Source organism: Homo sapiens, chromosome 3 (genome assembly GCF_000001405.40).
Source record: "Homo sapiens chromosome 3, GRCh38.p14 Primary Assembly".
NCBI classification, from domain to species: Eukaryota; Metazoa; Chordata; class Mammalia; order Primates; family Hominidae; genus Homo; species Homo sapiens.
The window spans coordinates 52,752,700-52,769,410 of record NC_000003.12 but is presented as its reverse complement, the minus strand read 5'-3'; the positions used below and the strand labels follow the sequence as shown (position 1 = coordinate 52,769,410).

The following is a 16,711-nucleotide window of genomic DNA, read 5'->3' as shown; positions in this document are numbered from 1 at the left end:
TAAGTGTGAATAATTTTGTATGCTGAAGATCAGTGACTATTAAACTTATGGGGCCATGGATCCCTTTGAGTATCTAACGTAATCCACAGACTATTCTGTCTGCAAATGTATAGTCAAGCTATATTTTATTCACCTTTTTGGGAGAGCTTAGATATTAAGGAATTTCTTTTTTTATTTTTTATTTTTTTTGAGACAGAGTCTTGCTCTGCCTCCCAGGCTGGAGTGCAGTGGTGCGATGTTGGCTCACTGCTGCAACTACTGCCTCCCAGGTTCAAGCAATTCTCCTGTGTCAGCCTCCCGAGTTGCTGGGACTATGGGTACACACCACCACGCCGGGCTAATTTTTGTATTTTTAGTAGAGACAGGTTTCACCATGTTGACCAGGCTGGTCTTGAACTCCTGACCTCAGGTGATCCACCCGCCTCACCCTCCCAAAGTGCTGGGATTACAGGTGTGAGCCACTGTGTATGGCCAGATATTAAGGAATTGCTAACACAGGTTTTATAATTGATCCAATGGTATGTTATCTTGAACTCACTTTTTTTAGTCATTAATGAAATTGTGAAATGCAGATGGGAAAGGTAATTTTTGTGGCCCTACACTGCTATAAATCTAACTTATAAGAAGTATCAATAATAGCAAATATTTTCCCCGATTTTGTGCTTGGTGAAAAACAAAATGAATAGGTTATCTGACAGGCTCCACAAGGTTGGTTTTGAGGGTATTCTTGAGAGCCCTTAGATAACTCTGAGGCCACAAATCTTACGTTTATTTGCACATTGTAAAAATACATGGTTTGTTTTTAGTATGTCATCAAAAAACTGAACCTCCGAAATGCCTCTAGCCGAGAGCGGCGAGCTGCTGAACAGGAAGCCCAGCTCTTGTCTCAGTTGAAGCATCCCAACATTGTCACCTACAAGGAGTCATGGGAAGGAGGAGATGGTCTGCTCTACATTGTCATGGGCTTCTGTGAAGGAGGTGATTTGTACCGAAAGCTCAAGGAGCAGAAAGGGCAGCTTCTGCCTGAGAATCAGGTGGTAGAGTGGTTTGTACAGATCGCCATGGCTTTGCAGGTACTGTGTAGACTAATAGCATCCTAGCTTGTTCCCAGATGGCAAGAAGATGGCAGGTGTATTTTAGGAAAATTTTTCTTCAGATACTTACATATAGAAATGTATTTTTTGGAAAATTCATTTGTGAAGTTGACCCAGTCACTCTTTCTGTAGCATTGGAACTTTTCTAAGTAAGTGATACCTATATTAAAATAGACATAGATTTCATGTCTGATTGCAGGGGAAGCCCACTCAATTACCATTTATAGCAAAGTCAATTTTAAGGACCCTGAGGCAACCAAGAGCATAGAGTGACTATGTTTGTTATCCATTGGTCAGTCGTGTCATGCTGAAAGGTGGCTAGGCTAATTGATATGCCCAGTGATTTCATCTGTCAGTCTGCTGGGGTACAGTAGATGGGAATGCAAAACAAGTTTTCTTTTTTTTATTTTTTAGAATTGGGCAGCACATCATTCCTTAAGATGGAATAAGTGTTCCTACAAGTTTGTGTTTTAATATGCATATAACTCAAAAGCGAGACGTTTATGAAATACTATTTTGGAACTGGGTAGACTTGTCCAGAATTAATTGACCATGTTTAAATTCTGAGATACTTTCTCTCTTTTTTTTTTTTTCTTTTGAGACGGAGTTTTGTTTTTGTTATCTAGGCTGGAGTGCAATGGCACGATCTCGGCTCACTGCAACCTCCACCTCCCAGGTTCAAGCGATTCTCCTGCCTCAGCCTCCCAAGTAGCTGGGATTACAGGCGCCTGCCACCATACCTGGCTAATTTTTTTTTTTGTATTTTTAGTAGAGATGGGGTTTTACCATGTTGGCCAGGCTGGTCTCGAACTCTTGACCTCAGGTGATCCACCTGCCTCGGCCTCCCAAAGTGCTGGGATTATAGGCGTGAGCCACCACGCCCGGCTGAGATACTTTCTCTAAATAAAAATGCTCTTGCTGTACTTGAAAATATTATTAAGCTGAGGATTTCATGGGTCTGAGAGGACTGTGCGTCTGACTTTGTATAAGTTGTCCTACCATCAGTGGAGTTTGTAAGCATTGTTTTTTTTTTAAGACAGAGTGTCACTGTCGCCCAGATTCGAGTGCAGTGGCACAATCGTGGCTCATTCCAACCTCCACCTCCTGGGTTCAAGTGATTCTTGTGCCTCAGCCTCCCAAGTAGCTGGGATTATAGGCGTGCGTCACCATGCCCAGCTAATTTTTGTATTTTTTTAGTAGAGATGGGGTTTTGCCATGTTGCCCAGGCTGGTCTTGAACTCCTGGCCTCAAGTGATCCGCTCACCTCGGCCTCCCAAACTGCTGAACACTGCGCCTGGCCTGTAAACATATTTTTTTTTTTTTTGAGACGGAGTCTCGCTCTGTCGCCCAGGCCGGACTACGGACTGCAGTGGCGCAATCTTGGCTCACTGCAAGCTCCGCTTCCCGGGTTCACGCCATTCTCCTGCCTCAGCGTCCCGAGTAGCTGGGACTACAGGCGCCCGCCACTGCGCCCGGCTAATTTTTTGTATTTTTAGTAGAGACGGGGTTTCACCTTGTTAGCCAGGATGGTCTCGATCTCCTGACCTCATGATCCACCCGCCTCGGCCTCCCAAAGTGCTGGGATTACAGGCGTGAGCCACTGCGCCCGGCTTGTAAACATATTTTTAAACTGGATTCATGTAATGCCAAAATGGTATAATTGTCAAGCTACCAGGGAACAGTTTTGATGGGTACTGGGTAAGTCAACACATGGAACTTAATTTTCTCATTTCAAAAATTGTAAATTAGACCTTTTATTTAGAGATTATAAAGCAATAATGTTTGGTAGGTATTTGCTTGTTGAATAAGGAATTGTATGGTTGGTTACTCTTTACGGTCAAAGACTCTAACTCATGCCATTGCTGATGGTATATAATAAGCCAGGAATAAATACATAATTAAGTCTATTTATATGTAATAAAATCTTGTTTCTTTCCTCAGTATTTACATGAAAAACACATCCTTCATCGAGATCTGAAAACTCAAAATGTCTTCCTAACAAGAACAAACATCATCAAAGTAGGGGACCTAGGAATTGCCCGAGTGTTAGAGAACCACTGTGACATGGCTAGCACCCTCATTGGCACACCCTACTACATGAGCCCTGAATTGTTCTCAAACAAACCCTACAACTATAAGGTAGGATTGGGCTCTGTATGCTGGCTTACCTTGTCTCTGGGAGAGTGCTTGTAATTTCAGAAGTTAATTAAGTCAGAGAATTATCTATGAATTGGTTTAAGGAAAATGTTTTCTTTTTTTAAAGGGAAAAAAATGTAAATAAGCTATTCTGACATTTAACCGTTTACTGTTTTTATTTTCTAGTCTGATGTTTGGGCTCTAGGATGCTGTGTCTATGAAATGGCCACCTTGAAGCATGCTTTCAATGCAAAAGATATGAATTCTTTAGTTTATCGGATTATTGAAGGAAAGGTAAAGAATAATCTAGAACTAATTGACCAGTATTTCTATAGTGCAGCTTTATAAATAGCTACTAGCAAAATCATTGATGATTTTGATGAGTCAATGAGTAATTATTGAGATTGGGTTGATAGTTAACAATGGTGGGTCCCTTCTGTGGGGAAGGTCAGACTAGAGGAAAAGGGATTGATGGATCATTTCTTAATATTAATCTGTAAGCCAGCTTAATGGCTCAAAAGAATTGGCTTTTTGAAAACCTATGCCTATAGTCATAGGATGTGCCGATGCCCTGAGAGGCTATTTGTCTCTTCTTCTAAGCAGCCTATGATTCAATGAGCTACATTTAAAATGAGTTTACTCTGTTTGAACTTGTCGTTCCTTTGATAATCATCACAACAATCAGTAACTAGTTAAGAATCACAGAAAGCATTGTGTCTGATATAGACTCCAGAGTGACTGGCTTTGTATGTTCCATGAGGCTAGTTGCCCTTTATAGATTCAGGCATCCATGTATCATTAAGGTTTTTTTTTTTGTTTTTTTTTTTTTGAGATGGAGTTTTGCTCTTGTCTCCCAGGCTGGAGTGCAATGGCATGATCTCAGCTCACAGCAACCTCTACCTCCTAGGTTCAAGTGATTCTTGTGCCTTAGCTTACCAAGTAGCTGGGATTACAGGCACATGCTGCCAGGCCCAGCTAATTTTTGTATTTTTAGTACAGACGGGGTTTCACCATGTTGGCCAGGATGGTCTCGAACTCCTTACCTCAGGTGATCCGCCCGCCTCAGCCTCCCAAAATGCTGGGATTACAGGTGTGAGCCACTGCACCTGGCCAATGTACTGTTAAGTTTTAAAGGCCATAAATCATCTATTGATTTTAATACTATCCCACAACTTATTTAATTTTTCAATTTGAAGCATATTGAAAAACACACACAAAAGTAAAATTTTCCCATAATGCCACTACTTAAGAATCAAACAAGAAGGGAGTGAAATTCTCTTCTCTTTCTATTCCCATTCCCTGGAAGATGACCATTGCTAGCAAATTGGTACATGGCCTTTCTGGTTTTTTCCTGTCTTTATACAGACATAACTCTGTGTGTGTGTGTGTGTGTGTGTGTGTGCATGTGTGTGTGTGTGCATGCGCACGCGCACACCCACAGATTCTTAAACTGAAATCAGGCTGTTCACATGGTACATAACTTGTTTTTTTGACTTAATATATGAGGAACACATCCTTCCAAGTCGGTACCTGCAAGTTTTTTTTTTTTTGAGACAGAGTCTCACTCTGTTGCCCAGACTGGAGTGCAGTGGTGCAATCTCAGCTCACTGCAACCTCTGCCTCTCGGGTTCACGCCATTCTCCTGCCTCGGCCTCCCAAGTAGCTGGGACTACAGGTGCCCGCCACCACGCCCGTCCACTTTTTTGTATTTTTAGTAGAGATGGGGTTTCACTGTGTTAGCCAGGATGGTCTCCATCTCCTGACCTCATGATCCACCCGCCTCGGCCTCCCAAGGTGCTGAGATTACAGGTGTGAGCCACTGCACCCGGCCCAAGTCTTGTATTTTTTAACCTGCTGCCTAGTTTCGTTTCTTTTCTTTCTTTTTTTTTTTTTTTGAGACAGAGTCTCGCTCTGTTGCCAGGCTGGAGTGCTGTGGCGTGATCTCGGCTCACCGCAACCTCCACCTCTCTGGTTCAAGCAATTCCCCTGCCTCAGCCTCCTGAGTAACTGGGATTACAGGTGCATGCCACCACGCCCAGCTAATTTTTTTGTATTTTTAGTAGAGACGGGGTTTCACCATGTTGGCCAGACTGGTCTCAAACTCCTGACCTCAGGCAATCCACCTGCCTCGGCCTCCCAAAGTGCTGGGATTACAGGCGTAAGCCACTGCGACTGGCCCTAGTTTTTATAAGAAGAATGCATGATAATTTATTCCACAAATCCCCTAAGGGACATTTATGTTTCCAATTGTTTACTACTGCAAGAACAGTACTGCATTGAACATCCCGATACATAAGTCTTTAGGAAACTCATACTCTTATTTCTGAATGAGAGTGTCATCAGATGGGACTGCTGGGTTGGAGGATATACTTTTATAATTTTACAACTTGTTATCTTACAACTGGGATACCAGTACACTTCCTGTAGACTAATATACTGATTGTTTTCTGCTTATGTGGACATATGACTATAAATAAATATTGGGAAACCTCTACCAGCTTTTACTTTGTTTCACAAGACCATTAGTCATAATTACAATATTATTTTTATTTGTAGCTGCCACCAATGCCAAGAGATTACAGCCCAGAGCTGGCAGAACTGATAAGAACAATGCTGAGCAAAAGGCCTGAAGAAAGGCCGTCTGTGAGGAGCATCCTGAGGCAGCCTTATATAAAGCGGCAAATCTCCTTCTTTTTGGAGGCCACAAAGATGTAAGATACTTCCCTTGCAAATAGCTGGGCTAAATAGATGGGGTGAAAGAGGGTGGCTTCTGTAATATTCATATGCAAGAATTAATGGTGAGTTTTCTTAAAAACAAGAAATAAAATGGCATGATTACATATGTAGAGGAGGCAAAATTCTACCCTCTTAGGGTTTCTTGGCTGAGCTTGAGAATTAAACTTATAATTTAACAGGAGAAAAGCATGTAGATTTCTTTAATACCTGAATAAGTTTTATGTGACACAGGAGCCCTCATAAGGAAATGAAGACCTAACTTCTACTAAAAATACAAAGAAGTGGCAAAACCTAAATGCTTTTTGCTTGATTGAACAAAGAGAGGCAATTGTGGAAAAGTAAACTAGGTGGAGAGGCTAAAGGAAGATAAGAATTATTTTAATAAGGTCTGTTTATAGAATTCTCTCAGTTTCAGCTTTCCATTCTTGATAATAAGAATGTTACTTTCCTTCTGGTACAGGGAGGACGTATTTCATATGGGAGTTTTATCTTCTGCTTTCTGGAAGAAAAAGGGAAGATCAGAGTGCCCTTCTTGCACTTACTTTTTTTTGTTTGTTTTTTTTTGAGATGGAGTCTTGCTGTGTCACCCAGGCTGGAGTGCAGTGGCATGATCTCAGCTCACTGCAACCTCCGCCTCCCGGGTTCAAGCAATTCTCCTGCCTCAGCCTCCCCAGTAGCTGGGATTACAGGCACCCGCCACCGTGCCCGGCTAATTTTTGTAGTTTTAGTAGAGACAGGGTTTCCCCATGTTGGCCAGGCTGGTCTTGAACTCCCGACCTCGTGGTCCGCCCACCTCGGCCTCCCAAAGCTTGCACTTACTTTTTAAAGAACCTTAGCCCAAAATAATCTTTATGCCAAAGTAGCATATTTTGGCGTGGCATATTCTCCCAGTCTTCAAATACATGTTGAAATTTGCTTAATTGCTAAAATCAGAAATTTGGAGAACCACTGTCACATTCCTCAGAGGGTTCTAAGACATATAGTGTAAATTTTTTTTTAAAGGACATATGCACTACTCTGGGCTCACTGCCTATGAGTTAGTCCTGTTCTCAAGGAGCAGCCAAATAATAATAAAAAAAAAGAGGGCATATGTTTTAGAAATCATATAATTAGAGATTATCTGAGAAACCTATACATCTTACTGTGTAAGATAGTAATATTTAAAAAGTAGTGCTCACATTTCTGAGAGCTTGCATAAAGTTCCCTCTTCATTCACATTAACTTCCCAAGAGAATTCCTTGCTTTGGCTTGCAGATCCTACCTTTACTAAACAGGTGTTCCAGGATCTAAGACTTAGGGCTGGACAAAACTATTACAATCTGTTTGGCTTCTCCTCTTGCCTTGTGGCATGTTAAATTTGGAAAGAGAGGAGGCAGTGCTAGAGATGCCTCAGGGAATAAAGAAGAACCATCTTTTTGTGTACATAATTTCCCACCAAGCAGACCTTTGGCCTTCCAGTGTACTGATCTCCATGCTCCTCTTGAATTCTCCAGAGGTTTAGCCCAGTTTTAGAAATGACATACTAAAATAGTTGGGGATGTTATTCCTGTATGCATTTATTCTATAAGCAGGACTAAGTGTACCAATCAGTTTTACTCTCAAAGTTAGCCAAGCAGTTGTGGTATTATTACAGACATGTAAAATTTGAAAATGAAAATTAACCTGATACTCCCGTATGTGAGGCAATCTCCCATAGAATTTTTATTTTGGAATAATTTTGTATAAACAGAAAAGTTGGAAAGATAGAGTGGAGAGTTCCTGTATACCCCTCATCTAGTTTCTTCTGTGATTACCAGATTACATACCCTAATGCATTTGTCAAAACTAAGAAACCAACATCGAAATATTACTATTGACTTGGCCATGCATGGTGGCTCACGCCTGTAATCCCAGCACTTTGGGAGGCCGAGGCTGGCAGATCACCTGAGGTCAGGAGTTTAAGACCAGCCTGGCCAACATGGCAAAACCCCGTCTCTACTAAAAAAAAAATACAAAAAAATTAGCCGGGCGTGGTGGCGTGCACCTGTAGTCCCAGCTACTCGGGAGGCTGAGGCACAAGAATCACTTGAACCTGGGCAGCGGAGGTTGCAGTGAGCTGAGATCACGCCACTACACTCTAGCCTGGATGACAGAGTGAAACTCTGTCTCAATTTTTTAAAAAAAGAAAGAAAAATATTACTATTGACTAAATTCCAGACTTTCTTTGGCTTTCACCAGTTTTTTTCTCTAATGTCTCTTTTCTGTTCCAGGATCCAATCCAGGATATAGTACATCTAATCAGGGGTCTGTGATTGTTTCTCACTTTGTTTATTTTTTATGACCTTGATTGTTTCAAAGACTACTGGTGAGGTGTTTTGTAGGATGCCCCTTAGATTTTTAGAAAACTATTCTCTATAAATGGTGCAGTTCTGTAAGGGAATTCATTGTATACACACACTCCCACATATACCTAAAAACCCTTAATCTTCAGTATATTGATAATAACTCTTTCTTTTCTTCTTTATAAAGAAAAACCTCCAAAAATAACATTAAAAATGGTGACTCTCAATCCAAGCCTTTTGCTACAGTGGTTTCTGGAGAGGCAGAATCAAATCATGAAGTAATCCACCCCCAACCACTCTCTTCTGAGGGCTCCCAGACATATATAATGGTACGTTTCTTTTTAAAGGGTATGTGTTTTAGAAACTGCACTTAGAAAAATGGGCCATCTAAGCAAATTATTTTGTGTGAAATGATTATGCTTTACTAGAGATTCTGTTGTACAATTAATTCCTTACTGTAAAGAAAGAATACTGGTTAAGGTGATTGATTTAGCTTTATCCAAATTGGGCTGTCAAATTGTTCACAAAGTCAGTGCTGTAATAACTTTAAGAATTTTTTAGGTGAAATTTATATAACAAAATTAACCATTTTAAAGTAAACAGTTAAGGCTGAGCGCGGTGGCTCATGCCTGCAATCCCAGCACTCTGGGAGGCCGAGGCTGGCAGATCACCTGAGGTCAGGAGTTCAAGACCAGCCTGGCCAACATGGTGAACCCTCATCTCTACTAAAAATACAAAAATTAGCTGGCTGTGGTGGCATGTACCTGTAGTCATAGCTACTCAGGAGGCTGAGGGAGGAGAATCGCTTGAACCTGGGAGGTGGAGGTTGCAGTGAGCCAAGACTGCACTACTGCACTCCAGCCTGGGTGACAGAATGAGACACTGTCTCAAAAATAAAAATAAAAATAAATAAAATAAAATAAATAAATAAAGTGATCAATTAAATGTGGCCAGTACATTCACAGTGTAGTGCAACCGTCACTTCTATGTAGTTCCAAAACATTTTCATCACCCCAAAGGAAATCTCTTCCTCATTAAGCAGTCACTCCCATTTTGTCCTTCACCCAGCCTCTGGCAACCACCAGTGTGTTTCCTGTCTCTATGAAGTTACCTGTCCTGGATATTTCATGTAAATAGAATCATTAAATATATCCTTTTGTTTCTGGTGTCTTCCACATAGCATATTTTCAAGGTTCATCCATGTAGCATGTATGAATACTTCATTTCTTTTTAGGTCTGGCTACCATTATGTGGATATACCACTGTTTATCCATTCATCCATTAGTAGACATCTGGGTTTTTTTCACCTTTTGGCTATTGCTATGAACATAAGTGTGCAAGTAGTTGAGTACCTGTTTTCCGTTCTTTTGGGTACATACCTAGCAGTGGAATTGCTGAGTCAAATGGTAATTTTTGGTTTGACTTTTTTTTTGGTTTGACTTTTTGAGGAACTGTTGCACTGTTTTCTACAGTGGCTGCACCATTTGACATTCCCATCAGCAGTGCACAAGAGTTCCAGTTTCTCCACATCTTTGCCGGCACTAATTATTTTCTGATTTTTTGATTCTAGCCATCCTAGTGGGTGTAAAGTGGTATCCTATTGTATTTTTGATTTGTATTTCCCTAACGATTAATGACATACAGCATCTTTTCACATGCTTGTTGGCCATTTGTATGTCTTCTTTGGAGAAATATCTGCTAAAGCTTTTGCTTTTTTTTTTTTGATACAGGGTCTTGCTCTGTTGCCTAGGCTGGAGTGCAGTGCTGCGATCACGGCTCAATCTAGCCTCCACCTCTCTGGATCAAGTGATCCTCCCACCTCAGCCTCCTGAGTAGCTGGGACCACAGCATGCCACCATGCCTGGCTAATTTTTTTATTTGTAGAGACAATGTCTTACTATGTTGCCCAGGCTGGTCTCAAACTCCTGGGCTCAGGAGGTCCTCCCACCTTGGCTTCCCAAACAAAGTGCTGGAATTACAGGCATGAGCCACTGTGCCCAGGCTTTTTTTTTTTTTTTCTTTTTTCTTTTTTTAAGAGAGGATCTTGCTCTGTTACGTAGGCTGGAGTATAGTGGCATCATCATAGCTCACTACAGCCTCTGAACTCCTTGACTCAAGGGATCCTCCTACCTCAGCCTTCCGATTAGCTGTGTCTACAGGTGCACGCCACCATACCTGGCTAATTATTATGATTATTTTTGTAGAGGTGGGTCTCACTATGTTGCTCAGGCTGGTCTTGAACAGTTCTTCTGCGTTTTCCTCCCAAAGTGCTGATATTACAGGTATGAGCCACATCACCCAGCCCCTGCCCAGTTTTAAATTGTGTTTTTGTCTTTTTGTTGTTGAGTTGTAGGAGTTCTCGATCTGTGTTCCAGATACTAGTCCCTTGTCAGATAGACAACTTGCAAGTATTTTCTCCATTGTATAGGTTGTCTTTTCTTTCCTTTTTTAGTTAAAATTTTTTTTTTTGTTTTTAAAAATTTCTTTTGTTTTTTCACTTTCTTGATAATGTCCTTTTCACAAAAGCTTCTAATTTTGATGAAGTCCAGTTTATCTATTTTTTTATTTTGTTGTCATAGCTAAGAATCCCTTGCCAAATCCAACGTCTTGAAGGTTTATGCCATAGTTTCTTCTAACAGTTTTATAGTTTTAGCTCTTATATTTAGGTTGTCGATCGAATTTTTAGTTTTAATTTTTTCATTATGATAAAGTACACATAATGTAAAATTTACTATTTTAACCATTTGTAAGTGTACAATTTAGTGGTGTTAAATACATCTATAATGTTATGCAGCCATCACCCCTCATCTTCATAACTCTCATATTGTAAAACTGAACTCTGTTACCATTAAACAGTATCTCCCCATTCCCTACTACCCCAGTCCCTGGCAACCACTGTTCTACCATTCTACTTTCTTTCTTTTTTTTTTTTTTTTTTTTTTTTTGAGATGGTGTCTTGCTGTGTCACCCAGGCTGGAGTGCAGTGGCATGATCTCGGCTCACTGCAACCTCCACCTCCCTGGTTCAAGCAATTCCCCTGCCTCAGCCCCCTGAATAGCTGGGATTACAGGTACACGCCACAACATCTGGCTAATTTTTTTTGTATTTTTAGTAGAGACAGGGTTTCACCACGTTGGCCAGACTGGTCTTGAACTCCTGACCTCAGGCAATCCACCCACCTTGGCCTCCCAAAATGCTGAGATTACAGGTGTGAGCCACTGTGCCTGGCCCACCATTCTACTTTCTGTCTCCATGGTTTTGACTAGTGTAAGTACCTCAGATAAGGAGATCTTGCATTATTTGTCTTTCATGACTGCCTTATTTCGTTTCACATAATATCCTCAAGGTTCATCCATGTTGTGACATATGTCAGAATTACCTTCCTTTTTAATGCTGAATAGTATTCTGTTGCATGTATATCCCACGTTTTGTTTATCTGGTTCATCTGCAGATGTACATTTGTGTTGTTTCCACCTTTTTTGCTAGTGTGAATAACGCTGCTATGAACATGAATGTACACTTATCTCTTTGAGACCCTGATTTCTTTTTTCTTTTTTTTTTTTTTTTTGAGACGGAGTCTCACTGTTACCCAGGTTGGAGCGCAGTGGCACAATCGTGGCTCACTGTAACCTCCACCTCCCAGGTTCAAGCGATTCTCCTGCCTCAGCCTCCCAAGTAGCTGGGATTACAGGCATGTGCCATCATGCCCAGCTAATTTTTGTATTTTTAGTAGAGATGGGATTTCACCATGTTGGCCAGGCTGGTCTCAAACTCCTGACCTCAGGTAATCCACCCGCCTTGGCCTCCCAAAGTGCTAGAATTACAGGCGTGAGCCTCTGCTCCCAGCTAAGACCCTGATTTCTCTTTTGTTGGGTATATAACCAGAAGTGGAACTGCTGACTACATGGTAATTCTAACTTTTTGAGGACCTGTGGTACTGTTTTCCACAACTTCTGTATCATTTTACATTCCTATCAGCAGTACACAAAGGTTCCAATTTCTCTACATTCTCACCAGTACTTGTTATTTTCTGGGATTTTTTAGTAATAGCCATCCTAATGGGCATGAGGTGGTATCTCATTGTAGTTTTGATTTGCATTTCCTTAGTGATTAGTTATATTGAGCATTTTTTGTGTGCTTATTGGCCGTTTGCTATCTTTTTGGGAGGAGCGTCTATTCAAATCCTTTGCCCATTTTTGAGTTGGGTCGTTCATTTTTTGCTGTTGGATTTTAGGAGTTCTCCATATATTCAGGATGTCAATTCCTTATCACATATATGATTTGCAAATATTTTCTCTCATTTTGTGGGTTACCTTTTTACTCTGTTGATAGTATCTTTTGATGCACAAAATTTTTAATTTTTGTGAAATCCAGTGTGTCTTTTTCTTGTGTTGCCTGTGCCTTTGGTGTCCTATCCAGAAAATCGTTGGCAAATCCAATGTTGTGAAGCCTTTGCCTTATGTCTTCTTCTGAGAGTTTTATAGTTTTAGGTCTTACATTTAGGTTTTTTGTTCATTTTGAGTTAATTTTTATATATGGTGTTAGGTAAAGGTCTGACTTCATTATTCTGTATATGGATATCTAGCTTTTTCAGCACTATTTGTTGAAAAAACTGTCCTTTCCTCATTAAATGATCTTGGCATCTTTGTCAAAAATCATTCGACCACATATGTGAAAGTTTATTTCTGGGTTCCCCATTCTGTTCCATTGGTTTCTATGTCTAATGTCTGTTTTTATACTAATACTACACTGTTTTGATAATGTGGTTTTGTGGTATGTTTTAAAATCATGAGGCATGAGTCCTCCATCTCTATTCTTCTTTTTCAAGATTGTTTTGGCTATTTGGGATCCCTTGAGATTCCACTGAATTTTAGGATGGATTTTTCTATTTTTCCAAAGAATGTCATTGGGATTTTGATAGGGATTAGATTGAATCTGTAGATTGCTCTGGGTAATATTAATATATTGACAATATTAAGCTTTTCTCAAGGAGATGCCCAAATGTAAAAAGAGAAAAAAAGAAAGAACAATGTTAAGTCTTTCAATCCATGAACATGGGATGTGTTTCCATTTATTTATGTCTTCTTTAAATTTCTTTCAGCACCATTTTGTAGATTTCACTATGTAAGTCCTTCTTTCGCCTTTTGGTTAATTCCTAATTATTTTATTATTTTTGATACTATTGTAAATTGAATTGTTCTTGTAATTTGCTTCTCAGATTGTTTATTGTTAGTGTATAGAAATGCAACTGATTTTTGTATGTTGACTTTGCCTCTTGCTACCTTGCTCAGTTCGTTTATTAGTTCCAACAGTTTCTGTATGTGGAATCTTTAGGGTTTCCTAGACACAAGATCATATCTGCAAAAGGAGATAATTTTACTTCTTCTTTTCTAATTTTGATGCCTTTTATTTTTTTTTTCCTTGCCTAATTGCTCTGGCTAGAACTTCTAGTACTATATTGACTAGAAGAGGTGAAAACAGGCATTCTTGCCTTGTTCCTGATCTTAGAGGAAAAGCTTTCAGTCTTTCACCATTAAATGTGATGTTTACTGTGGGTGTTTCATATATGACTTTTATTATGTTATGAATTTTTTTTTCTATTCGTAGTTTGTTGAATTTTTTTTTAATCATGAAAAGGTGTTTTTTTTTCACAGCCCTGAAAATCATCACATAAGGGTGTTGATGATCATGTGTTTTTTTTCCTTCATTCTGTTAATGTGGTCTAATAGTACATATGAAGCATATAATTCATTGTCCTTAATTAGATTCACAGTATCATGCAGCCATCACCACTATCTTCCAAAACCTTTTCATCATTTCAAACAGAAACTTGGTACCCATTGAGCAATAATTTTCTATTCCCCGTATCGTCAGGCCCTGGTAAGCTCTCATCTACTTTTTGTCTATGGATTTGCCGATTTGCCTGTTCTAGATATTTTATGTAAGTGGAATCATACAATATTTGTCTTTCTGTTTCTGGCTTCTTTCTTTCTTTTTTTTTTTTTCATTGTTAAGAAGTTTTGTTTTTCTTTTTTCTTTTTTTTTTTTTTGAGACGGAGTCTTGCTCTGTCGCCCAGGCTGGAGTCCAGTGGTGCGACCTTGGCTCACTGCAAGCTCTGCCTCCCGGGTTCACGCCATTCTCCTGCCTCAGCCTCCCGAGTAGCTGGGACTACAGGCGCCTGCCACCGCGCCCGGCTAATTTTTTTGCATTTTTAGTAGAGACGGGGTTTCACCATGTTAGCCAGGATGTTCTGGATCTCCTGACCTCGTGATCCGCCCATCTTGGCCTCCCAAAGTTCTAGGATTACAGGCATGAGCCACGGTGCCCGGCCCACAGTTTTGTTTTTCAAGCTGTCCATTGCCATTGGTCAGCTTGAACTAGTCCAGAGTCCAGCAGGAAAGTGCATGGTGTACCAGATTCACCATCTCTTAAGTTGCTACTGTTTTCTCTTCTTTACTGAAAGATTGTACTGAGCCAGGCTTTACCTATGACAGGCCGGCGACACGTACACTTATTGTGCTGTTCTTCAGGCTTTTCTGAGTCAGCATCTTTTCTCTGGCTTCATCATGTACAGAAGGATTCCATGGAGAAAAGCTAATTGCATGAGTCTTCTATTTTAAATTGGTCAGACAGACGAGTAATACATACCTTAACACTGTCAACCACTTTACTCTTAAAAAGCTGAACATCTTTCTCATACAGTATTGCAGCCTCTGGGTTTAGGGGGCTTTTTGTATCAATCTTGTAGAAAACTCTCCCTGCATATTGTTAGTACTTGCCAAATTTGGTTATGATTCCACCTCCATTTTCCAAATGCTCTTCACATCCAGTTCATCTGAGGTGGCATCACCTAGTAGGTGAAAGATGGGAATACCAAATATCAAGCATGGATAGTCACCATCTGGATAGTAATTAGGGATGGATGTAAACTGCAAACTTAAATACACCATCTTTTGTTTTTGAGACGGAGTCTCGCTCTGTTTCCCAGGCTAGAGTGCAGTGGTGCGATCTTGGCTCACCGCAACCTCTGCCTCCTGGGTTCAAGTGATCTCCTGCCTCAGCCTCCTAAGTAGCTGGGATTACAGGCATGTGGCACCACACCAGCAAATTGTTATATTTTTGGTTAGAGACGGGGTTTCACCATGTTAGCCAGGCTGGTCTCGAACTCCTGAGTGCTCCACCGCCTCGGACTCTCAAAGTGCTGGGATTATAGGTGTGAGCCACCGCGCCTGGCCTAAATATGCCATCTTGATAAAGTCTGTGCCCTATGAATATTAGTCCAAACCACTTTAATACAGAGGGATAAGATGGCTGCACATAGACACCTAATAACGTCTGCTCCGCAACCAAGGTAAATTCAGCAAGAAGAGAGTATTTCAGGTGGACGAGTCTGTAGGAAGCATGCATGCCATTTGTTGACTGTGCTGCTGGGACAGGCTCCGTAGGCTTAGTTATGGGCAAAGCATTTTTGGGAATAGAAGGCAGCTGTTTCTTTGGCATAGTTCATCAAAGACTGGTTTTTGCATCCCCTGCCAATGTTTTCAGCTTCAGATCGTTTCCATGTAGAGCTTGTAGACATGCTCCAGAAAGAGTACATAATGTGTACTCCAAACAAAGAAATTCAGTAGTATGTCATCAGACTCTTCCGTCCTCAGCATTCAATTTACCAGCCTTCCGGGCATTGTGCCTCACCTCTGTGCCTTCAATGTAGAGTTCCCAGCTGCCTATCACCTTTGTGGCCCAGCGGCATCTCTGGCCACAGTGCCAGTCCTGCCCCTGCTTGCTCCCTGCCCTGTCCTGGCTTACTTCTTTTCTTTTCTGAGACAGGATCTCAACTGTGTCAACCAGGCTGGAGTGCAGTGGTGTGATCACGGCTCACTGCAGCCTTGACCTCCCGGCTCAAGCAATCCTCCCACTCAGGCTTCCAAGTAGCTGGGACTACAGGCACTTGCCACCATGCCCAGCTAATTTTTTGGTATTTTTTATAGAAATGGGGTTTCGCCATGTTGCCTAGGCTGGTCTCAAACTCCTGAGCTCAAGTGCTGGGATGATAGGTGTGAGCCACCACACTTGGCCTGGCTTATTTTACTTAGCATGTTTTCAGGGTTCATTCGTGTTTTAGCATGTATCAGAACTTCATTCCTTTTTATAGATTAGAAATATTCCATTGTGTGTGTGTGTGTGTGTGTATATATATATATATATTTTTTTTTTTTTTTTTTGAGGCAGGGTTTCACTCCTGTTGCCCAGGCTGGAGTGCAGTGGCGGGCTCTCGGCTCACTACAACCTCCGCCTCCTAGGCTCAAGCAATCCTCCCGCATCAGCCTCCCAGGTAACTGGGACTACAGACATGCACCACCACACCTGGCTAATTTTTGTATTTTTAGTAGAGATGGGATTTCACCATGTTGCCCAGGCTGGTC

General features: G+C 40.9%; 1 protein-coding gene and 1 pseudogene across 11 annotated transcripts in view; one reads left to right on the top strand and one right to left on the bottom strand.

The window, feature by feature from the left end:
* The window catches only part of NEK4 (NIMA related kinase 4), a 62,497-nt gene that overhangs the window by 1,530 nt on the left and 44,256 nt on the right, over nt 1-16,711 (top strand). For 9 of the 11 annotated variants that reach the window (NM_001348412.2, NM_003157.6, XM_047448772.1 and 6 more), the window contains exons 2-6: nt 807-1,073; nt 3,036-3,233; nt 3,417-3,524; nt 5,787-5,941; nt 8,475-8,616. In NM_001348412.2, the coding sequence (NP_001335341.1) occupies nt 807-1,073; nt 3,036-3,233; nt 3,417-3,524; nt 5,787-5,941; nt 8,475-8,616 (870 nt within the window). The remainder of the gene's footprint in view (nt 1-806; nt 1,074-3,035; nt 3,234-3,416; nt 3,525-5,786; nt 5,942-8,474; nt 8,617-16,711) is intronic. The other 2 variants (NM_001348414.2, NM_001193533.3) reach the window with 2 other exon arrangements.
* Nucleotides 14,717-15,885, bottom strand: AKTIPP1 (AKTIP pseudogene 1; annotated as a pseudogene).